Here is a 25314-nt window from a genome sequence, read left to right on the forward strand (position 1 = left end):
GGCATCCTTGTCTTGTTCTGATCTTAGAAGGAAAACAGGGTCTCCCTCTGTTTCCCAGATTGGAGTGCAGTGGCACAATCATAGCTCACTATAGCCTCGACCTCCTGGGCTCAAGCTATCTTCCCACCTCAGCCTCCTGAGTTAGCTGGGACCATAGGTGCATGCCACCACCCCAGCAAATGTGTTTGTTTTTTGTAGAGGTGGGGTCTCATTATGTTGCCCGTCTGGTCTTGAACTCCTGGGCTCAAGTGATACCTCCCACCTCAACCTCCCAAAGCAAAGTGCTGGGATTACAGGTATGAGCCGCTGTGCTTAGCTAAGAACATTGTCTCTTTCTATTTAGTATGATGTCATCAGTTTTTTCATGGATGCTTGTTGTCAGGTTGAGGATGTTCTCCTCTATTACTAACTTGCTAAGAGCTATCATGAATCATTGCTGGATTTTGCCAAGTGTCTTTTTTTTTTCCTGGGAAATGTCTAACTATAATTCCATTTATTTAGTAAAAATAAACTATTCAGGGTATCTATGTCTTGAGTGAACCTTGTTTAATATGTGTGCTTCACTGAATTTATTTTATGTAAATTATTGAATTTATTGACATAAAATTGTTCATAATATTCCCTTATGTTTTTAAGTATCTGTAGAATCTGTAGTGTATGTTACTGTGTTTCTCATTACTGATATTGGTAATATTTTCTCCATGTTTTTTCCTGATTAGTTTGGCTAGAGGCTTGTTAATTTTGTCTTCTCCAAGAACCAACCTCTGGTCTCATTAATTGTCTCCGTTGTTTTTCTGTTTTCTATTTCATTGATTTCTGCTAATATATTTATTATTTGAGTCTTCTGCAGACTTTGGGTTTCATTTGCTCTTTGTTTTGTAATTTTTTGAGTGGAAGCTGAGGTCATTGATATGAGACCGTTGTCTTTTCTAAAATAGAGGTTTCTTTGGTGCTGTAAATTTTCTTCTAAATATTGTTTTAGCTGTAATCCATAAATTGAGATATGTTGCATTTTTATTTTCATTGAGTTCAAAATACTTTTTAATTTATTTTGTAATTTCTTCTTTGACCATCTGTTATTTCTATGGCCATCTGTTATTTCTTAGTTTTCCAACGTATCTTTATGTTAATGATTTCTGATTTAATTCCATTTTGGTCAGAGAACATACTTTCAATGACTTGTAGTCTTCTATTTAAATATATTAAGGTTTGTTTTGTGGCCCAGAATGTTGTCTCTATTGGTAAATGTTTCTTGTACACTTAAAAAATGTATATTTTGCTGTTTTTTAGTTGTTACAAGCATGATGATAAACCTGGTCCATGTGCTGACATGTTGACTATAAGTGGACATTTATTTTTTTTTTAATTTAGATGTGCTCACATACTATAAAACTGACGCATCTTAAGTGTTCAATTCGGTGGTTTTTAGTGTATTTGTAAAGTTGTGGAGCCATCACCACTATTTAATTCCTCTAATTTTATCATCTGAAAAAGAGTACCAATTATCAGTCACCATTTCCCCTCTATTTAGCAGTTAGCAATCACTAATACTTTCTGTCTCTACCAATGTGCGTATTCTGACATTTCATATAAATGGAACCATACAATATTGGCTGTTAATGTAAGGGTTCTTTCACTTAGTGTAATGTTTTCAAGGTTAATCCATGTTGTAGTATGTGTCAGTATTTCATTCCTTTTTATGATTGAATAAATATTTCATTGTACACATATACCACATTTAATATTTCATTGTACAGATATACCACATTTAATCTGTTCATCAGTTGTTGGATATTTGGGTTGTTTCCATTTTTTGGCAATTATGAATAATGCTGCTGTGAACATTTGTGTACAAATTTTTGTGTGTTGTAAGTTTTCAATTATCTTGGCTGTATACCTAGTTGCAGAATTGCTAGGTCATATGGTAAACTGATATCTCACTTTTTGAGGAGGTATCAAAACTGTTTTCCAAAGAGCTGTACCATTTTACATTTCTGACAGCAACATACAGGGTTCCAGTTTCTTGACATCCTTGCCAACTCTTATTTTCTGTTTCTTTAAAAAATTATTATAATCATCCTAGTGGATGTGAAGTGGTAATTTGTTGTGATTTTGGTTTTTATTTCTCTGATGACTAATGATGTTGAGCATCTTTCTATGTGCATATGAAGGTATGAGTCATTTACATACCTTCTTTGGAGAAATGTCTATTTAAATCCTTTACCTATTTTTAATTGGATTGTTTGTCTTTTTGTTGTTGAGTTGTGTTTGTATATTCTGGGACTCTTGTCATGGGACTCTTATCAGATATATGATTTGCAAATATTTCCCTTCATTCTATGGGTTGTCTTTTTGCCTTCCTCATAGTGTCCTTTAATGTACAAAAGTTTTTAATTTTGGTGAAGTCTAATTTCTTTTTGCTGTTTGCTTGGGCTGTTGGTGCCGTATTTAAGAAACTTGCTTAATCACTGGTCGTGAAGATTTATACCTGTTTTCTTCTAAGAGTTGTATAGTTTTAGCTCTTCTGTTTAGATATTTGATCTATTTTCAGTTAATTTTTATATGGTATAAAGTAGGGGTCCAAGGTGTTTTTTTTTGTTTTTTTTTTGGTGGCGATTATCTAGTTGTCTCAGCACCATTTGGTGAAAAGACTTTTCTTTCATTGAATGGTCTTGGATCTCTTGTCAAAAAATCACTTGACCATAAATAGAAGAGTTTATTTCTGAACTCTTAATTCCATTACATTGATCTGTATGTGTTTGTTTTTGCCAGTGCCACACAGTCTTGATTACTGTAGTTTTGTAATAAGTTTTTCTAGTTTTATTTTAGGTGACTTGGTTTTATGCCTGTGAACACTAAATAAATTCAAATAAGTAAATTTACACAGTGAAACTTAATGGCTCAGACATTTCATTGTAAAATATCAGAACATTGTGTTTACTAAATGACAGTCAATATTTAACGCTTTATTTTGAATTTTTTTAGAGCAGTTTTAGGTTCATAGCAAAATTGAGAGGAAGGTATGGGAATTTCTCATATATCCCCTGCCCACATACTTGCATAGCATTTTCCATTATCAACATCTTCCACCTGAGTGGTACATTTGCTGTATTTCATGAGCCTACATTAATACATCATAATCCATCCAAAGTCCATAGTTTACAATAGGGCTCACTCTTGGTTTCAGGCATCTTATGAGTTTGGACAAATGTATAGTGATATATATCCACCATTATAGTATCATGTGGAGTTGTTTCACTGCCTTAAAAATCTCCTGTGCTCTGCCTATTTATCACCCACCTTCTGAACTCCTGATGACCACTGATCTTTTTATAGTCTCCATAGTTAAGCCTTTTCCAGAATGTCATATAATTGGAATCACATAGTATGTAGCCTTTTCAGATTAGTTTTCTTTCACTTAGCAATATACATTTAGGTTTCCTCTATCTTTTCATAGCTTCTAGCTCATTTCTTTTTAGAGCTGAATAATACTTCATTCTGTAGATGTACCACAGTTTGTCCATTCACTTGCTGAAGGACATCTTGGGTGCTTCCAAAAATTGGCAGTTATGAGTAAAGTTGCCATAAACGTTTGTGGGCAGGTGTTGGTGTGCACATACGTTTACGTTCGTGTGCAGGTGTATGTGTGGACATACGTTTTCAGCTCCTTTGGATAAATACCAAGGAGCATGCTGTATTGTGTATGTTTAGTTTTTATAAGAAATCACCATTTGTCCTTCAAAGTGACTGTACAATTTTGCATTCCCACCAGCAATGAATATAAGTTCCTGATGCTCCACATCCTTGCCAGTATTTGATGTTGTCAGTGTTCTCTATTTTGGCCATTCTAATAGATATGTAGTACATTTCCCTGATAACATAGGATGTGGATTATCTTTTCATATGCTCGTTTGCAATCTGTGTATCTTTGCTGAGGTGCCTGTTATGGCCTTTGGCTCATTTCTTAGATGTTTCTTATTGTAGTGTTTTAAGAGTTCTTTATTTATTTTAGATAACATTACTTTATCAGATGTGTCTTTTGAAAGTATTTCCCCTGTCTTGTCTTCTTGTTTTCTTGACATTGTCTTTTGCAGGGTGGAAGTTTTTAATTTTAATGAAGTCAGTCTTATCAATGATTTCTTTTATGGATCTTGCCTTGGTATTGTACTTAATAAATTATCACCATACCCAAGGTCATCTGAGTTTTTTCCCTATGTTATCTTCTCAGAGGTTTATAGTTTTGTGTTTATATTTAGGTCTGTGATCTATTTTGAATTAATTTTTGTGAAGGGTGTAAGTTATGTGTCTAGATTTTATTTTTATTTTTATTTTTTTTGCATGTGAATATCCAGTTGTAGCAGCACCATTTGTTGAAAAGACTATCTGCATTGTATTGACTTTACTCCTTTGTCAAAGGTCCGATGATCGTGTTTATGTGGGTCTGTTTCTGGGCTCTGAATTCTGTTTAGTTATCTGTTTGTCTGCTCTTTTGCCAATACCACACTGTCTTATTTGGTGTAGCCTTACAGTAAAATTTTTATTATTATTTATTTATTTATTTATTTTTTTGAGATGGAGTCTCGGCCTCTTGCCCAGGCTGGAGTGCAATGGCGCGATCTCAGCTCACGGCAGCCTCCACCTCCTGGGTTCAAGTGATTCTCCTGCCTCAGACTCCCGAGTAGCTGGGATTACAGGCACGCGCCACCATTCCCAGCTTATTTTTTTGTATCTTTAGTAGAGATGGGGTGGTCTCGAACCACCAGCCAGGCTGGTCTCAAACTCCTGACCTCGTGATCTTCCTGTCTTGGCCTCCCAAAGTGGTGGGATTACAGGCACTTTATAGTAAGTCTTGAAGTTGGGTAGTGTCAGCTGTCTTGGGATTCTCCACTTATCTTTCTGTTACTGATTTTAGTTTAATTCCATTGTGGTCTAAGAGTAGACACTGTATGATTTTTATTCTTTTAAATTTGTTAAAGTGTATTTTAAGGCCTCAAATATGGTCTGTCTTGGTAAATGTTCCATGTAAGCTTGAGAAGAACAACTTTGTTCTTCTCCCTTAATATGTGTTGGCTAGCCCGAGTCTTTGGCATCTCTTATAAACTTTAGAATCAGTTTGTCAATACCCACAAAATAATTTGCTGAGATTTTGATAGGAATTGCATTGAATCTATAGAACAAGTTGGGAATAATTGACATCTTGAAAATACTGAATCTTTCTATTTATTAATATGGAATAGCTCTTCATTTATTTAATTCTTTGATTTCTTTTACCAGAGTTTTATAATTTTCCTCATAGAAATCTTATACATATTTCATTCAATTTATACCTAAGTGTTTCATGTTTTGGAGTGCTAATGTAATGGTATTGTGTTTTAAAATTCAAATTCCACTTGTTCATTTCTGGTATTTAGGAAAATAATTGACTTTTTAATATTAACCTTGTATCCTATTACTTTGCTACAATCACTTATTAGTTCCAGGAGGGTTTTATTTTGTTTTGTTTTGTTTGTTTTGAAACAGAGTCTTGCTCTGTCGCCCAGGCTGGAGTGCAGTGGCGCGATCTCGGCTCAATGCAAGCTCCGCCTCCCGGGTTCATGCCATTCTTCTGCCTCAGCCTCCCGAGTAGCTGGGACTACAGGTGCCCACCACCACACCCGGCTAATTTTTTGTATTTTTAGTAGAGATGGGGTTTCATCGTGTTAGCCAGGATGTCTTGATCTCCTGACCCCGTGATCCGCCCTCCTTTGCCTCCCAAAATGCTGGGATTACAGGCGTGAGCCACTGTGCCTGGCCTCCAGGAGGGTTTTTAAAATTTTATTTTCCATATAGATGATCTTGTTATCTACAAAGACCGTTTTATTTCTTTTCCAATCTTCATACTTTTCCTTTGCTTTTCCTTCCTTTTCTTGTCTTACTGCATTAGCTAGGACTTAAAGTATGGTGTTGAAACGAAGTGGTGAGAGAGGACATCCTTGTCTTGTTTTTGATATTCTACAGGTTGAGTGTCTTTAATTTGAAAATCTGAAAATTGAAATGCTCCAAAATTTGAAACTTTTTGAGTGCCACATGATGCTCAAAGTATTTTGGATTTCAGAAATGCTGTAAAATTTCCTCTGAGAACTACTTTGTTGCACCTCACAGATTTTAATTAGTCTTGTTTTGATTTCATTGAATTCAGAATCTTTTAAAATTTCTCTTGAGATTTCTTCTTTGACCGATGTGTTATTTTGAACTTGTGTGTATTTTGGGATTTTCCAGTTATCTTTCTGTTACTGATTTTAGTTTAATTCCATTGTGGTCTAAGAGTAGACACTGTTTGATTTTTATTCTTTTAAATTTGATAAAGTGTATTTTAAGGCCTCAAGTGTGGTCTGTCTTGGTAAATGTTTCATGTGAGCTTTAGAGGACTGTATATTCTGCTGTTGTTGAATGAAGTAGTCTATAAATGTCCGTTATATTCAGGTAATTGATGGTTTTGAGTTTAACTGTGTCCTTACTGATTTTCTGCCTGCTAGGTCTGTCTGTTTCTGATAGAGGGAATTGAAGTCTCCAGGTATCATACTAGATTCATCTGTTTCTCTTTATAGTTCTGTCAGTTTTTATCTCACATATTTCGATGCTCTGTTGTTAAGCACATACATGTTAGGGATTGGGAAACTATGTTGTCTTGGGGAAACTGACCTCTTTATCGTTATGAAATACCCTTCTTTTTCCCTGATAATTTTTCTTGCTTTGAACTCTGGTCTGTCTGAAATTAATGTAACTACTCCTGTTTTCTTTTGATTTGTATTAGTATGATATATTTTTCTCAATCCATTTACTTTTAATCCATATGGATCTTTATATTTAAAATGGATTTCTTGTAAACAACATATATTTGGATCTTGTTTTTTGATCCACTCTGACAGTCTCTGTCTTAATTTTTAGGCTGGGTGCGGTGGCTCACCCCTGTAATCCCAGCACTTTGGGAGGTCGAGGTGGGCGATCACCTGAGGTCAGGAGTTCAAGACCAGCCTGGCCAACGTGGCAAAACTCTGTCTCTACTAAAAATACAAAAATTAGCCACGCATGGTGGCACATGCCTATAATCCCAGTTACTTGGGAGGCTGAGGCAGGAGAATTGCTTGAACCCAGGAGGCAGAGGGTTGTAGTAAGCGGAGATAGCACCACTGCACGCCAGCCTGGCGATGAAGCGAGACTCCATCTCAAAAAACAAACAAACAAAAATGTTGCCAGGCGTGGTGGCTCACATCTGTAATCCTAGCACTTTGGGAGGCCAAGGCGGGTGGATCACCTGAGGTCTGGAGTTCGAGACCAGCCTGGGCAACATGGTGAAACCCTGGCTCTACTAAAAATACAAAAATTAGCCAAGCATAGTGGCTGGCAGGCACCTGTAATCCCAGCTACTCGGGAGGCTGAGGCGGGAGAATCGCTTGAACTCAGGAGGCGGAGGTTGTAGTGAGCTGAGATCGTGCTGCTTCACTTCAGCCTGGGCAAAAGCGTGAAACTCTGTCTCAAAAAAAAAACCAAAATAATAATTTTTAATTTAGACTATTGACATTCAAAGGGATTACTGGTATAGTTGGATTAATATTTCCTATATTTGTTAACTGTTTCTGCTTTTTGTCTTTGTTCCTTGTTCCTATTTTTGTTTTCCATTCTTCTGCCTTTTGTGTTTTTTTTGTTTCTGTTTTTTTTTTTTTTCCCTTTTGAGATGGAGTCTCACTCTGCCACCCAGGCTGGAGTAGAGTGGTTCAATCTCAGCTCACTGCTACCTCCGCCTCCCAGGTTCAAGTGATTCTCCTGCCTCAGCCTCCTGAGTAGCTGGGATGCCACCACACCCAGCTAATTTTTGTGTTTTAGTAGAGATGGGGTTTCACCATGTTGGCCAGGCTGGTCTCTAATTCCTGACCTCAAGTGATCCACCCACCTTGGCCTCCCAGAGTGCTGGGATTACAGGTGTGAGTCACCATGCCTGGACCTTTTGTGGTTTTAATTGAGCATTTCATATAGTTTTTTTTTTCTCCTTCCTTAGTATTTATTAGTTACACCTATTTTTTAAACTTTTTAATTATTTGCCCTAAAGTTTTCACTATACATGTACAACAAATCTAAGTCCACTTTATTTCAAATAACACTATAATGATTCACAGGGAGTGTGAGTACAAAGTAATTTTAAATCTTCCATCTTATACCTTGTACTATTTCTGTTATTCATTTCACTTATTTATAAGCACTCATAAGCATATTTTTGTATATGTGCTAGATATAAGCATAGATGATCAAATACATTGTTGCTGTTATTTTGAACAATAAAATAATTTGTTAGCTCAATTAAGAATAAGTAAAATGAAAGTTTGTGTTTTATCTTCACTTATTCCTCCTTCAGTGCTCCTTCTTTCTTTATGTAGATATATGTCTCTGACCTATGTTTATTTTCCTTTTCTTTAAAGAACTCCTTTTGTAATTTCTTGCAAAGTAGGTCTGCTGGCAACAAATTCCCTCAATGTTAATTTATCTGAGAAAAGTTTTATTTCTCCTTTAGTTTTGAAGGATAATTTTGCGGGGTACAGTATTCTAGGTTGGTTTTGCTTTGTTTTGTTTCCGTTACTGCTTTAAATATTTCACTCTTCTTGCTTACATGATTTCTGAGGAGATGTTGGATGTAATTCTTATCTTTGCTCCTCTATAGATAATGTTTTTTCCTCCAGCTTCTTTCAGGATTTTTTCTTATCTTTGATTTTCTTTAGTTTGAAAAATGCTTGCCTAGCTGTAGTTCTTTTTGTATTTATCCTGATTATTGTTCTCTGAGCTTACTGGATCTATGGTTTGGTTTCTCACATTCATTTGGAGGAAATTATCAGTCATTATTATTTCAGATATTCTGTTCTTTTCTCCTTCTCCTCTGGTATTCACATTATACATGAGTTATGCCTTTTGTAGTTGTCCCACATTCCTTGGACATTATGTTTTGTTTTGCTTTTTTTCAGTCTTTGTTCTTTTTGCTTCTCAGTTTTGTACGTTTTTATTGATATATCCTCAAGGTCAGAGATTGTTTCCTCAATTGTGTCTAGTCTACTAATACGCCCATCAGAGGCATTGTTCCTTTCTGTTACATTGTTTTTGATTGCTACCATTTCCTTTTTATTCTTAGGATTTCCGTCTCTCTGCTGACATTGCCCATCTCTTCTTACATGCTGTCTACTTTATCCATTGGAACTCTTAGCATGCTAATCATAGTTGTTTCGGATTCCTGGTCTTACAGTTCCAACAGTCCTGCTATGTTTGGTTCTGATGCTGGCTTTATCCCTTCAAATTGTATTTTTGCCTTTTAGTATGGCTTGTAATTTTTCTTAATAACTGGACATGAAGTACTTATTAAAAGTAATGGTATAAATAGGTCCTTAGGAATTTACTGGTAAAGTGTAGGAGGAGAGGAAGTGTTCTACAGGCCTATGATTAGGTGTCTGTCACTTAAAGAGCCTATACGTCTGAACTGTGGGCTTCACAAGGGATTATCAGCACCTCCTATTCCCAACTGAGGTGGAACAGGTTAGTAGATTAGGCTGGAGTTATGTATTTTCCTTCCCCAATGCGGAAGGCTGGAATTGGGTATTTCTGTTTGTCTAGGTCAGTTAGGCTCTAATAAAACCTCAGTGGGTAGGCTGTGGTGAAATAGCTTTTCTTAAGGGCAGATCTTGTTAAGAAAGTTAGAGTACTCTGGGATACCCAAAATGGTTTCTTTTTCCCTCCCTCTGCTGGATGTACAAGGTGATTTTAATCTGAAATTTATTGTGAAAATCTGGTTGAGCTCTGAAGTTAAAATCAAATCACAAAAACACCCTCTGCACCATACCCCCACCGCATGACTGGGTTCCCTGGAGTTTTTTTCTTTTTTGAGACAGAGTCTTGCTCTGTCGCGTAGGCTGGGTGCAGTGACACGATCTTGGCTCACTGAAACCTCCACCTCTTGGGTTCAAGCAGTTCTCCTGTCGGGAGGCTGAGGCCTCCCGAGTAGCTGGGATTACAGGCGCATGCCACCATGGCCGGCTAATTTTTGTATTTTTAGTAGAGACGGGGTTTCGCCATATTGGTCAGGCTGGTCTCGAACCTCTGACATCAGGTGATCCACCCGCTTTGGCCTCCCAAAGTGCTGGGATTATAGACGTGAGCCACCGCGCCCGGCCTTCCCTGGAGTTTTTAACATTCAGACTTAACGCTTTCTGAACCTCCAACAATTCATCAATTATAGTTCAGGTTTTCCTACCCTAGCTCTGTTTCTCACAGAGGTTTCTGCTCATGAGTCTGTGCTCTGGTAAGCCAAGACTCCTTGTGTTTACCTGTTCATCTCTGCAATCTAGGGGGTAGCATTTTGTCCTGTGTCCTTACCTCTCTGAAGGATCCAAGATCAGTTATTGATTTTACAGTTTGTTAACTTTTTATTTGTTGTTAGTATGGAGTGGCAACTGCTAAGCTTCTTACGTGTGGAACTGGAAACTGGAAGCTTGTTTTTTTAATACATCAACTATTAAATCAAGCTTGTCTAACACACGGCCCGTGGGCTGCATGAGGCCCAGGACAGCTTTGAATGTGGCCCACATAAATTCATAAACTTTCTTAAAACATTATGAGATTTTTTTGCTATTTATTTTTAGCTCATCAGCTATTGTTAGTGTTAGTGTATTTTATGTGTGGCCGGAGACAATTCTTCTTCTTCTACTGTGGCCAAGGGAAGCCATAAGATTGGACACCCCTATGTTAAATACTTTTTAACGTATAACCTCATTAGTGGTAAAAATTTTGTACCGCCAGGTGAGTGAAAGATGGCATATTTTCTTTTATGTCCAATTTGCTTATATTTCTTTTTTGCTTTCTCTTTAGGTTAATACAATCTGTTGGAATGACACTGGAGAATATATTTTATCTGGCTCAGATGACACCAAATTAGTAATTAGTAATCCTTACAGCAGAAAGGTAAAGTAGTTTAAAAAATCTGTAATTTAATGAGAGAAAAAAAATCAAGAAGGCAGAAATGAAGAAACTGTGAACAGTCATAGAATGGGCATTTATATTAGAATATCCTCCCTATTTTGCTGAGGTTTATTGTATAATTTAGAGGTTCTTAGGTACATGTGGGTCTCTTAGATTACTTAGGGAAACAAGATTTTATTCAGCCTTGGGATCTAGAAAATTTAAATATACTTTATTTAAATGGTTAATAATTGGTACAAGTGACATTATTTCAATAACATTTTTTGGGGGAAAATGTGCCATAAATAAAGTATGAGTTAATGAGAAAATTACTTTTATGTGTTACCTTAATATATTATCTTAACATTCTAAAAAGTTACTTATTTTAATGTTAAGAATAGTGTGGGTAAAGCTGCCAACTTTGGTCATTGTTTCGTTTTCTTAAAAATTTGAAATTTAGTCTTTTAGAAAATTTACATTTAAAACTTTTAAAGACAAAAACAGCCAAATGACTGCGGTGTGAATAGTTCTTGAGGTACTGAGAAAATTAAAATGGTTTCAATGAAGAAAAAAATTACCATAAGCTAATAAACTCCCTCACTAGAAGGCAAGAGATATCTAAGAATTAAATAATTTTCTAACTCTCAAGTAACTTTAATTACTGTTTCAAATAGCATTCCATTTTATCCACAGAATGTTTCCTTTACAAGGATGGTTTCAGAGAAATTAAGATACTGAATGATAAAGCTATAAACAGCTGACTGATTGTAATAAAAAGAAAGTGTGTGATGTTCTTTACACTTGACATAACAGTTAAATGAGAAACCTTCTGTTTTAGAAATATGACTAAATAGTTATTTTAAAATTTGTAAGATCTTAAACATTCAACACATCATTTAAAGTTCCAGTTAAGAATAGGAATATGTATATTTCCTAGCTGCCTCCCAACTCACATGATACATTTTTCTCTCCTGATTGTCTTAAATTTCCTGTATCTTTTTTTTTTTTTTTTTTTTTTTTTTGTGGCAAGGTCTCACTCTGTCACCCAGGCTGGAAGGCTGGAGTACAGTGGTGCGATCTCGGCTTACTGCAACCTCTGCCTCCTGCGTTCAAGCGATTCTCCTGCCTCAGCCTCCCAAGGATCTGGGATTACAGGTGTGTGCCACCATGCTCGGCTAATTTTTATGTTTTTGGTAGAGACAGGGTTTCACCATGTTGGCCAGGCTGGTCTTGAACTCCTGACCTCAAGTGATCTGCCCACCTCATCCTCCCAAAGTGTTGGGATTACAGGCATGAGCCACCACGCCCAGCCCAAATTTCTTGTATCTTTAAGTCTTTTAACATCTATTATTTTAATAGTAATTCCAAAAATGTACTCCAGCTTTTAATTTTTTATGGTAGTAGCAACCGTGTATTGGTGATTGTATCAGTCGGGTTCTAGTCAAAGAAACCACACAGTAATTTCAATAGGGAAAGTGTAATAAAAAGAATTACTACCTATATCAGGAGATTGGAGTAGTAAAGGCTTGGCTGCTAAAAAGTAAAAAGGTCTCTATAAAATACAGAAATAACAGATACTATGAACCGCCACTAACCCTGGGACTGAGATAAACCACTGAAAAGAAGAGACCCCCCCGTGCTGAGTGCTGAGATTTAGACCTTATTGAAGAGGGTGTCATGGCTCACTGGATGGCAGGGAAGTCTCTGTGATGTCATGCTAGTGTAACTTGTTGCGAATTCCCCTCTGGAACTTGGTGGAACACCTCTCTCTAGAGCACTGAGAAATACTTTTTAAGGAGAGGTTTCTCATCAGAGGTAGTATGCTACAAAATGTCTAGGGACGTGGGGAAATGAGGCAGGAGAAGCTGTCGGGTGTTGAACTGTTCATTTAGTAGGTGGGCCCTGGTGAAACTGCAGGACTCTGGTGCTATGGTGTTGGGGAAACTGCCCGTGCTGGAAGACCCTGGCACTGGAAAACCTGTGCATGGTTGCAGGAGCTCCCATTAGAGATAGGAAGCAAACTCCGTTTTCCTGCATTATTCTTTCAGTGCTTTTTACTGGCAAAGCTTAACATCATGCCAACTGGCAAAGGAAAAATATTTGAAGGACTCAGTTCCATTGCATAATCTATAAAAGTGAAGGGTAAATTTGGAACTGAGAGGAAATAATTTGATAAGTGGCACAGTAGTCTTACCTTTATCTGCTTCTTGGTATTATTGCAATGTGAAATTTACTTCATTAATATTTAGGTCTTTGAATGAAGAAGAGTTCCATGAAAATTTTAAAATTATATTATGATTACTATAATGGCAAATATAGATTTATATGTTGGTTTTTTTTTACCATTCTGACCAAGTTATTTAAACTTTCCTTAGCCTTTTTCTTCATATATTAAGAAAGTCATTATGTCTAAAGTCCTTTCTAATATTAATATTTTATATTTGTTTCTAAAAATGTTTTAAAACATTTTTGTCTATTAATTTAGGTTATATAGTGATGTTTGAATGGGCCTGGCTGGCTGTTTGAAGCTGGATCTTACAGGTTATGACTTACTCTTTTAGGCTCATAGAATGTAATCTTCAGCCAAGTAGTTTAAGAAACTGGATTTTTATCAGTTTACAAACAGTGGCTAGGTTCTAGTGAAATGCTTCATGATATACAATTCGATAAGCTGGGATAACATATGAGTTCTAATTAGGTTAGGATTATGTTCTGATTTTCATTGGCTTTTAGCTTCTGAGTTCATATATAGAGGAAGTATACAGCTGTTTTTATATCTGAAAACATGGTATTAGCAGTCCAAAGTGTAATTTAAAATTTTCAGTTTTACAGAATAAATTGTTTATTTCTTGTTTTTCCACACTTAATAAGATATTTAAATAAGTGTGTATCATCTATCAGCTGAAAAAGAAGTTCATATTGAGGCTGTCTTTAATGGGTCGTAGTTTTATTTCATTAAGTTTTACTTAATTGTCCTGGCTTAGCAAAAAAAGCTTGATGTTTTCAAATCCTACTTCTCTTAGGTCAGTAATTACAAGGGTAACACTTTTCATTTTATTTTTTATTATTCTTTTTTGAGATAGAGTCTTGCTCTGTTGCCCAGGCTGGAGTGCAGTGGCACGATCTCGGCCCACTGCAAACTCTGCCTCCCAGATTCAAGAGTTTCTCCTGCCTCAGCCTTCCAAATAGCTGAGGCTACAAGTGTGTGCCACCACGCCCGGCTAGTTTTTGTATTTTTTGTAGAGTTGGGGTTTCACCATGTTGGCCAGGCTGGTCTCGAACTCCTGAGCTCAAATGATCCACCTGTCTCCACCTCCCAAAGTGCTGGGGATTACAGGCGTGAACCATTGCGCCTAGCCCCCTTTTCTTATAATAGAGAAGATTTCCTGAAATAATGTATATGTAGAAAGCTTTTTGACGATCACTATTCAGAATTTTAACTCTTACATTATACAAAATAATCACTTGGGTACCAAAGGAATGATTGTTAAAAGACCTGTTTCTGTTTTATTTGCTTATTTTTAAAGAAATGACGATCCCTTTGATGTATGATTTCCAATAGAATATGTATATTTGAAAAAATGATACTCTTTCTCATTTCCAGCTTGAGAAATGATTAGTCAGATTTTCTTTTTAAAGATTATAATCATAGGCCAAGTGTGTGGCTCACGCTTATAATCCCAGCACTTTGGGAGGCCCGAGGTGGGAAGATCGCTTGAGGCCAGGAGTTAAAGACCAGCCTGGGAAATGTAGTGAGACTCTGTCTCTACAAAAAATTTAAAAGCTGGATGTGGTGGCACATGCCTGTAGTCCCAGTTACTCGGGAGGGAGTGGCAGGAGGATCACTTGAGCCCAGGCGTTCCACCACTACACTCCAAGTCTGGATGACAGCAAGAGCTGATATCTTAAAAAAAAAAATTATTATCATAAGCCTTTATAGGGCTTTTTAAAATTTTAAAACACCAATGATTCATTATATAGGAAAAAAAGCTTTTTGACCATGAGTCAAATACTACCTGTTTTTATAGTTTGATTATTTTTAGATCCTATGATTTTGTGGGAACATTAATTTATTGAAAATAAGAGTTTTGAAACACTTAGTTTTTTAAAAAAATAGATTTAAGAGACTGGAGATATTCCTTATTAATGCAATTATATTTTAATTATATATAGCATAGAGACTCCCCATCATATACTGGGGAGTCCCATTAGGGTACCCTATTATGGCATAGGTGAAAGAGAAGGAAGCCCAGAGATGGTCTTGCAATATCTTTTGTAAAATAAATTCCAAATATATACTGTATACATGATTTTTCTTGATTTGGCCTCAGCCAGCTACTTATAGTCCTCAGAGCTTAAAAAGTTTTCATTACTGTGTGCTTTTGCTTATACTCTTCTTTCTTTCTGAGATCACCTGCTTTCTCGGGTATCTCCCATCTACTTGGTAAATTTAAAATTCATTCTTCAAATCTCAGCTCTTTTTTGTGATATTTCTCTAACATTTCCTGGACACATGTAGCCACTCCTTCATCTGTGTTCCTGTCTTGTGGATAACTCTATTATTATATTGTATTATATTTGTTTGCATGTTGTGCTTAGATGGCAACTTCTTTGAGATAATGACAATTTCTTTTTTCTTTTTGCATCCTCAACACTTAACATTATTTATTTACCTCTCATATAGTTGGAGCCCACTAAGTCTTAGTAAAACGAGTGTATAAATCTGTATATTCGATACCTCAGACAGGGTTATGGGTCAGGTTTGAAAGGGGGTTGTTTTTACCAAGGGATTAAAAAACCATCCTCTACTATTTGGATACTTTTGGACTGAGCTTCAAGTTTTGGGAGTGTTGTACGTGACATGATTAAGAAGGAAAGAGATGCCAACTTTGGCCAGCTATTTAGTCAAAATAAACTGGTAATCAGCAGAATGACAGATGTTACAACTAGACCACCTTAACGTATAGTAATCATTGCAATTATCAATATGTTATTTTCATCTCAGATTAAGTTACTCTGGCAATTATACCTCTCTAGGGCATTATCCTTAGGGTGTTTTCAGAATAACTCATAATGCATTGATCCAAGGAAAGCACAACTAAGAAGATAAATCCATCAATAAAAAGTTATTATTGTTATTGTAATTTTTTTTTTTGAGACAGAGTCTTGCTCTGTCGCCCAGGCTGCAGTGCAGTGGCGTATTCTCAGCTCACTGCAACCTCCACCTCCCGGGTTCAAGTGATTCTCGTGCCTTAGCCTCCCGAGTAGCTGGGACTACAGGGATGCGCCACCATACCCGGCTAATTTTTGTATTTTTAGTGGAGATGGGGTTTCGCCATGTTGGGCAGGCTGGTCTCGAACTCCTGACTTCAGGTGATCCAGCTGCCTTGGCCTCCCAAAGTGCTGAGATTACAAGGCATGAGCCGCCATGCCTGGCCCAGCTATCAAAAATTATAACTTCCCAAGTACACATAAATATTTTTAATCAGCCTTATTGCTGTTTATCTGCAGTATCATACATACCCATATTGGCTGTATAGATTTGGTTTCAACAATTAAAGAACAAATTCTAACCTTCATTGAAATTACCAACTATACATACATAACACGAATAATAATTCTTTGAACAATTATTCATTAATAAATTAGAGAGTGGTACAAAATGAAGTTCAAATGATAGGAATCAGATAAGCTTATTAAGGAGTTTACATTTTAGTGTGATTTTTGTGGACAGTCACTGTAGGGTTTTAAACATGTACTGATATGATTTATATTTTTAAAAGATAGCTCTGGCTGCTTTTGGAGGGTAGAGTTTGAACTAGATTGGAAGTAGGAGATAGGAGGCCATTGAAATAATCCAGGTAAGAGGGAAAGATGACTCAGGCACAGATAATGACATTGGAGTTGGTGAAAAGTAATTTGGGATGTATTTTGGCATGGCTCTGCTGGTGGATTTGATACAGCAGATGAGGGAAAGAAAAATGAAAAAAGGTTCCTTAGTTTTTGACTTGATCAACTGTATGGGTGGATACTGATGCCATTGAGATGGAGAACACTGGAAGAGGGGAGTGTATTTTGAGAGGGGCATCTGAAATCTAGAGATTTGTTCAAAGGAACGGGCCCCCAATTTTTTACTCACTAAATTTTAATTAGTTTATTTAATAAGGGAATGCTTTTCAATTTATGAGTGACTGATGAAGCAGTGAGGCTCCTGCTTTTGTTACTGAAATTATAAATAAACCTCTTAAGTGGAGGTAAATCATAAATTTTTAAGAGTAATGTCTGCTGAATGTTACTAATGCACAGCCAAAGCCAATGGCCTAACAAACGAAGTAACTAATGGCTGTATGTAGTGTGTAGTTAGCTACTTGGTAAACCACCCTAAATCTCTGACAGCGTTAAAGAACATGATATTTATCTTGTTTAAAGGCTTTACGTTAATTACTCTCTCTGTTTCATGACATTGACATGTCAGGCTAGTTATTTTACAGAATGTTGCTCCATTTGGATTTGTCTGATTGTTTCTTCATGAGTAGATTCAGATTAAACATTTTTGGTGAGAATTCTCAGGTGATATTGTGGTACATGATGTTATATAATTTATTCCCTTATTGGAGATGTTGTTTGATCCCTCTATTTTGGGTTACCCTTTGTAACTAACAAGCTGTCTGTGAAGTGGCATGTTGAGACTGAATATTCTTTCCTAACAGTCTTTCCCCCAGTGGTTTTTATATTAATTGATGACTTCTGTTTGAATCGGTTGTTGTAATGTCACAAAACAGTGATTTTTAAATTGTCATTTCTTCTACATTTATTAATTTACATTCTTCAGTAAATAAGAGCATTTTCTCTGTCCCTAGCACCTTAAACATTTTTTTAATTCAGTGTTTTATAGTCAATCACTGATGTTATTCTTTTTGATACTCAAATTGTCCTAAATTTGTTCCATGGAGATTTCAAGCCAACTTAGTGTTGGTGTTTTGACATTTCTCTTTTTTCTTAGCACTTTAAAAAAGCACAACAGATATTCCCCACTCACCTCTCTATTGTATATCTGTTATGGGGATATACTGTAGTTTATTCAACCAGTCTCCTGTGTTTTACTGTTATAAATAACTCAGTAAATAATCTTTGACATTTTTTTTGGTCTTATTGGAAGCATATCTTTGGGGTAAATTCCTAGAAATAGATTTGCCTAGTCAAAGAGTAAGCACATACGTAGTTTTGTGAGATATTGCTAAATTCCCTTCCACTGGTATTACCGTTTAGCATTCCTACCAACAGTGTTTAAGAGTCTGTTTTCACATAAGCTTGTTTGTAGAGTCTGTTGTCAAGCTCTTGAATTTTTGCCAGTCTGTTAAGTGAGAATTGATATCTCAGCATAATTTCAATTTGCATTTCCCTTATGAATGATCCAAGTTGAGTATTTTTTACTATTTTTAAGGGCCATTTGTATATCTGCATGTATACTGTCTGTTCTGGTACCTTGCCCATTAAAAAAAAATCAGGTCTTGTCAGTTATTTTTCCTCTCAATTTTAAAACACTACTAGGAGAATTAGTCCTTTATCTGCAACAAATTATACAAATATTAAAATATCAATTTTAAACTTTATTACTGTCACAGTAATTCTGGTCTTTTAAATATTATTAATTGGATGTAGGGACTTCTGCTGTGTCTTATGTGTACCATTTCATTACTTTGATTTTATGAAAATAATTAAAATTCAGTTTATTGTTTTGTCATCCTGAAAGGGAATAACTTAATCATTTAGCATACAGTAAATTTCAAAAGTCAGTCAAAGTAGTTCGTTGTTATTTATTGAGATTTTATGAGTGAGTCAGATAAACTAAATAAATGGAAATATGCATGTTTTATTTTCATGATACTGTTCCTGTTGATGGTACTCAATCTTATTCACATCTCACAGGGAACAAAAGAAAATATATGGGATTCTGATTTTTTTAAATTATAATAGCTTGCAGTCTAGTGATAATCTTTCACTGAGATGAGAATGTTAATGAGAATGTATTACTGGCTATGATTATATTAAAAATGAATATTTCTAGGAAATAATAAGTTACCATTAACTGCTTTCTTTGTGTGTTTTAGGTTTTGACAACAATTCGTTCAGGGCACCGAGCAAACATATTTAGTGCAAAGTTCTTACCTTGTACAAATGATAAACAGATTGTATCCTGCTCTGGAGATGGAGTAATATTTTATACCAACGTTGAGCAAGATGCAGAAACCAACAGACAATGCCAATTTACGTGTCATTATGGAACTACTTATGAGGTATGGTATTATTATGATTATATGATATATATGTAAGTATGTATATTTTTGATTAAGTACATACATGTGTAGATGCATGTGTGTACATGTACAGATGTGTGTGTATGCACATTTGATGCATATAAATTATTGACAATATCTAGGTGTCAGCAGAGCATTTGAGAAAATGTATCTTGATAGGCTTCTGGATAAAGTTAAGAAATAAGATGCAAGTAATAGTACTCTAAGATGGGTTTGTAATTGCTTGAGCAACCATGCTGTAAGCAAACAGACGTTTACCTTTAAAGATACCTCTGTTATTGTGCTGCATGACTGTACTAGGCTTTACCCTTTTAAACAATCGCTTGCTTGTGTAAAGTCATAGCCAACATGCTTATCAAATTTTTGTAGGATAGAAGGGACTCCAGTAGACAAAAGAATCAGATTCCTAAAGGATATTAATGAGCTTAAGACCTGAGCTGAATTAAATAAGGTGGAATAAATTTAAGACTCAATTTTAGTGCTTTATGTGGTTCAGAAAAAATGTACAACTGAGTTCTCTTTTATTTATGATACAGGGTCACACTGTCACTCACACTGGAGTGCAGTGGCATGACCATGGCTCTCTGCAGCTTCAAACTCCCAGGCTCAAGCAGTCTTCTCACCTCAGCCTCTTGAGTAGCTGGGACTACAGGCATGTGCCACCATGCCCAACTAATTTAATTTTGTTGTTGTTGTTGTGGAGACAGGGTTTTGCTATGTTGCCAGGGCTGGTCTCCAACTCCTGAGTTCATACAATCCTCCCACCTTGGCCTCTCACAGTGCCAAGGTTATAGATGTGAGCCACTGTACTAGCCTCCAGAGTGTTCTTCTGAAATACTTGCATGTCATTTTTTTGTATCAAATTATTGATAGGTTTCCCATTTTTTGTGTTAAACTGGTATACTTTTTCCATCATTTGAATTCCAGTTCTTTTATGTCCTCATGTTTTTGTATGTACTTATATATATAGCTAGATTTTGTTTTCTTATCCAGTCTCACAGTTTTGGGGTTTTACTGGAGATTTATGAATTTACATTTATTGTGAGTTCTGATATATTTGGATTTGTTTCTATCCCTTTGTTTTCTACTTTTTAAAAAAAGTTTCCAATCTCCATTAACCCTCCTCTCCTTTTAAAAGTCCACCTTTGGAGGCCAGACGTGGTGGCTCACACCTGTAATCTGAGCACTCTGGGAGGCTGAGGTGGGCGGATCACTTGAGGCCAGGAATTTGAGACCGGCCTGGCCAACATGGTGAAACCCTGTCTCTACTAAAAATACAGGAATCAGCTGGGTGTGGTGGTGCACGCCTGTAATACCAGCTACTTGGGAGGCTGAGGCTTGAGAATTGCTTGAACAACCTGGGAGGCAGAGGTTGCAGTCAGCCAAGACTGCGCTACTGTACTCCAACCTGGGCGACAGAGTGAGACTGTGTCTCAAAAATAAAAAATAAAAATAAAGTCTACCTTTCGAATTACTTGAGTATTTTACTTTTTGTCCATTGTGTTTCTGTTTCTTGCTTCTAAGATAGACATTCATTTTTGTTATTCTGGAGGTTACCCCAGCTACTTTCACAAGAATATCGAACAAAGCCAAATATCAGTAAATATTTCTACTCTTCTCTTGAATAAAGGAACTTGGAACATACCTTGTTCCATTTTATGTGATTATATTGTTCAGGATTTAGTTATATTCTGTTTTCTCTCATGAATTAGATGTTATTGGTTTACTGTTAGTGTTGTTTGTTTAGATTTACCTGCATATTTACTAATACCTTTGGTTTACCTTTCCTTCTTCCCATCACACATTTTCCATGTTGTATCATTTTGTACTGAAGGTACATCCTTTAGCAGTTTTTTTTTTTTTTTTTTTTTTTTTTTTTTTTTTGAGACGGAGTTTCGCTCTTGTTGCCCAGGCTGAAGTGCAATGGCATGATCTTGGCTCACCACAACCTCTGCCTCCTGGGTTCAAGTAATTCTCCTGTCAGCCTCCTGAGTAGCTGGGATTATAGGTGCATACCACCACTCCTGGCTAATTTTGTATTTTTTTTAGGAGAGATGGGGTTTCTCCATGTTGGTCAGGCTGGTCTCGAACTCCCGACCTCAGGTGATCTGCCTGCCTCTGCCTCTCAAAGCTCTGGGATTACAGGCATGAACCACCGTGCCTGGGCCACAGTTTTTTTTTTTTTTTTTTACATGAGAGTTTGTTGATAGAAAACAATTTCAGTTTCCTTTTCTTTCCTTCATTCATTCTTTCCTTTCTTCCTTTTCTTTCCTTTGTGAAAAATGTCTTTTTTTTTTAAATGCCAGTTCTTCAAAGATAGTTTTGCTGGGCATGGATTTCATTTGATAGTTACTGTATTTCAGATGGTATTCCATTATATTCTGACTTCCATTGTTGAAGTTGCAAAGTCAGACATCAGTCTAATTGTGGTTCCTGTATAGGTAACCTGTTTCTTTTCCTTGACTACTTTTAATTTTGTTTTTCTTTGCCGGGTTTTTTTCTTATTTTATGTCAGAACAGTGTGTCTTGATGTGCATTGTTTTTTATTTTTTATACTTGGGATTTGTTGATGTTCTTGATGTGAGCAATTGGCATCTTGAAAAATGTAAGAAATTTTCAGTCAGTAGGTCTTTGGTTTACTACTTCATTATTCTCTCCATTTTTTTGTAGTCTGGGGAAATTCTGATTAGCCATATCAGACCTGCTTATTAGACCTTATTCCATCCACTATTTAAAAATTTTAAAATTGAAATATAGAACATATAGGAAAAGTACCTAAATCCTAAGTATATGGCTTAGTGAATTATCACAAAGCAAATCTATTCATGTAACTACCACCTAGCACATTAAGTATCCCAAAAGCTCCCTTTATTCTGAATTCTAACACTGGAGTTTTCTGTTTTTTCTAATACCCCTGTTTTTCTGTTTTTGAACGTTATATAAATGGAAATATGGCTTTTTGTGTCTTTGTTGTTGTTTTTGTATCTGGCTTTTTTTGCTGAGCAAAATCTTAACTCATTTGTGAAATTCATCCATGTTGTGTGTAACTATAATTTGCCCATTTTATTACTGTATAGTATTCCATTATATGAATATACCACAATTGATTTATCTGTTCTATGCTGTTGGAAGTTTGGAGAACATTGTTTTACGTGTCTTTTCAGTACACAAATGCACACATTTGTTAGGGTGTATACTTAGCAGTAAAATTGCTGGGTCATAGAATATATATTTGGTTATTTTAGAGATAAAGCCAAATAGTTTTCCAAAGTGTAGTAACGACTTACATTCCCACCAACAGCATGTAAGAGGTCCTGTTGCTTCTGATCTTTGCCAACAGTTGGTATTTTCAGCTCTACTTTGGTGGATGTATAGTATCATCTTAATTGGTTTCCATTTGCCTCTCTGTGCTGATACTACTGAGGTTGAGCATCTCTTCAAATGTTTGTTGGTTATTTGGATGTATTCTTAATGAAATGTGTAGTCAAATCTCTTGCCTATTTTTTTCTGTTGGGTTGTTTGTCTTATTTTATTTTGTTATTATTAATTTATAGGAGTTTTTGAAAAAATATCTTCTGCATATGAGCCTATCTTTTCCTATTCTGTGGTTATATTTTCACTCTCCTAGTGGTGGGGGAGGGTGCGGTTTGTGTGTTTTGAGAGATGGGGTCTCACTTTTTCACCCAGGCTGGAGAGCAGTGGCATGATTATAGCTCCTGGGTTCAAGGAATCGTCTTGCCTCCCAAGTAGCTGAGACTACAGGCATGCACTACTGCACCTGGGTAATTTTTTTTATTTTTTGTAGAGACGGGGCCTTGCTATCTTACCCAGGCTTGTCTAGAACTCCTGGGCTCAAGCGATCCTCCTGCCTCTGCCTCCTAAAGTGCTGGGATTTCAGCCTAAAATGGTGTCTTTTGATGAAGAAAAGTATTTAATGTTGTCTAATATGTTGGTCTGCTCCTTTATGATTAGTATCTTTTGCATCCTGGTTAAGAAATCTTTTCCTATCCCAAAGTTATGAAGATATTCTTCTACTTTAATTTCATTGCTTTGTCTTTAGCATTTAGATCTGTAATCTATCTGGATTTGACTTTTGTTATAGTATGACTTGAGTCAACTTTTTTTTTTACCCCATATGAAGTTTTTTGTGTTAACATAATTTATTTTTTAGAAAATTAAATCAAAATCCAAAACAGCACACAAACAAAAGAAAGACCATTTTAACATGATAGACCCATTTACCCAAGATGTTTTTTGCCAAATACATATACACACTTTAATTAGCATAGAATTTTTTTTTTTCAAAACTGATACTCTGCATCTATCAACAGCTCTCCTTTCTTCCTTATCCTAGTCCCTGGCAACCATCATTCTACTTTCTGTTTCTAAGAATTTGACTATTTTAGATACCTCATATAATTGTAATCATGCAGTATTTGACTTTTGATGACTGACTGATTTCACTTAGCATGATCATATTGTAGCATATGTCAGAATTTATTTCCTTTATAAGGCAGGAGAAGATTCCGTTGTATGTATATACCACATTTTCTTTATTCATTTATCTAGGCTGTGTGCTGTGGCTCATGCCTGTGATCCCAGCACTTTGGGAGGCCGAGGTGGGCAGATCACTTGAGGTTAGGAGTTCAAGACCAGCCTGTACAACAAGATGAAACCGTGCCTCTATTGAAACTACAAAAATTAGCCAGGCGTGGTGGCAGGTGCCTGTAGTCCCAGCTACTCAGGAGGCTGAGGCAGGAGAATCACTTGAACCCAAGAGGTGGAGGATGCAGTGAGCTGAGATCATGCCACTGCACTCCAGCGTGGGTGACAGAGTGAGACTCTGTCTCAAAATAAATAAACAGGCTGGGCGCAGTGGCTCACACCCATCATCCCAGCACTTTGGGAGGCTGAGGAGGGCGGATCACGAGGTCAAGAGATTGAGACCATCCTGGCCAACATGGTGAAACCCTGTCTCTACTAAAAATGCAAAAATTAGCTGGATGTGGTGGCATGTGCCTATAGTCCCAGTTACTTGGGAGGCTGAGGCAGGAGAATCACTTGAACACGGGAGGCAGAGGTTGCAGTGAGCTGAGATCGTGTCACTGCACTCCAGCCTGGCGACAGAGTGAGACTCCATCTCAGAAATAAATAAATAAATAAGTAAATAAATAAATTCATCTAGTGATGGATATTTAGGTTGCTTCTACTCCTTGGCTATTGTGAATAATGCTGCAGTGAAGATGAGTGTGCAAATATCTCTTCAAGATCCCGTTTCCAGTTTTTTCGGATCTGTACCCAGAAGTAGAGATTGCTGGATCATATGGTAATTCCATTTTTAAGTTTTTGAGGACCCTCCATACTATTTTCCATAGCAGCTCCACTATTTTACATGCCTACCAGCTGTGTGCAAGGGTGCCAACTTCTCCATTTCCTTGCCAACACTTACAATTTTTTTTTAGTGGGCATTCCAGTGGGCTTGAAGTTTTATCTTACTGTGGTTGTGATTTTCATTTCCCCAAAGATTACTGAAGTTGAGCTTCTTTTCATATGCTTCTTGGCCATCTGTGTATCTTCTTTGGAGAAATCTCCTTTGCTTTTTTTTAATCTGCATTATTTTTTGTTGTTAACATAGGATTTCTTTATATATTCCGAATATTATGTTGTTAACATAGGATTTCTTTATATATTCCAAATATTAACCCTTTTTTAGATACATGGTTCACAAATATTTTCACCCGTTCCATGGATTGTCTTTTTACCCTGTTAAGTTTGATGTAGTTCCACTTGTCTGTTATGGCTTTGTTAACTGTGATTTTGTTGTTATATCTAATAAATCATTGTAAAATCCAATGTCATGAAGCTTTTCTCTGAATTTTCTTTTTTTTTTTTTTTTTTTGAGCTCTGTCACCCAGGCTGGAGTGCAGTGGTACAATCGTGGCTCACTGCACCCTCTGCCTCCCAGGTTCAAGCAATTCTCCTGCCTCAGCCTCCTGAGTAGCTGGGATTACAGGCGCATGCCACC

General features: G+C 36.4%; 1 protein-coding gene across 25 annotated transcripts in view; it reads left to right on the plus strand.

The window, feature by feature from the left end:
• The window catches only part of DCAF6 (DDB1 and CUL4 associated factor 6), a 212261-nt gene that overhangs the window by 92172 nt on the left and 94775 nt on the right, over positions 1-25314 (plus strand). For 23 of the 25 annotated variants that reach the window (NR_146229.2, NR_146230.2, NR_146228.2 and 20 more), the window contains 2 exons: positions 10882-10974; positions 19083-19268. Coding sequence is in view for 7 of the 25 variants with exons in the window: in NM_001198956.2 (NP_001185885.1) it covers positions 10882-10974; positions 19083-19268 (279 nt within the window). In the remaining 18 variants the exon portion in view is untranslated. Of the gene's footprint in view, positions 1-10881; positions 10975-12700; positions 12787-19082; positions 19269-25314 lie in introns of those variants that run through there. The other 2 variants (XM_024448375.2, NM_001198957.2) reach the window with 2 other exon arrangements.

The sequence above is a fragment of the Homo sapiens genome, chromosome 1, assembly GCF_000001405.40.
Source record: "Homo sapiens chromosome 1, GRCh38.p14 Primary Assembly".
Classification (NCBI taxonomy): domain Eukaryota; kingdom Metazoa; phylum Chordata; class Mammalia; order Primates; family Hominidae; genus Homo; species Homo sapiens.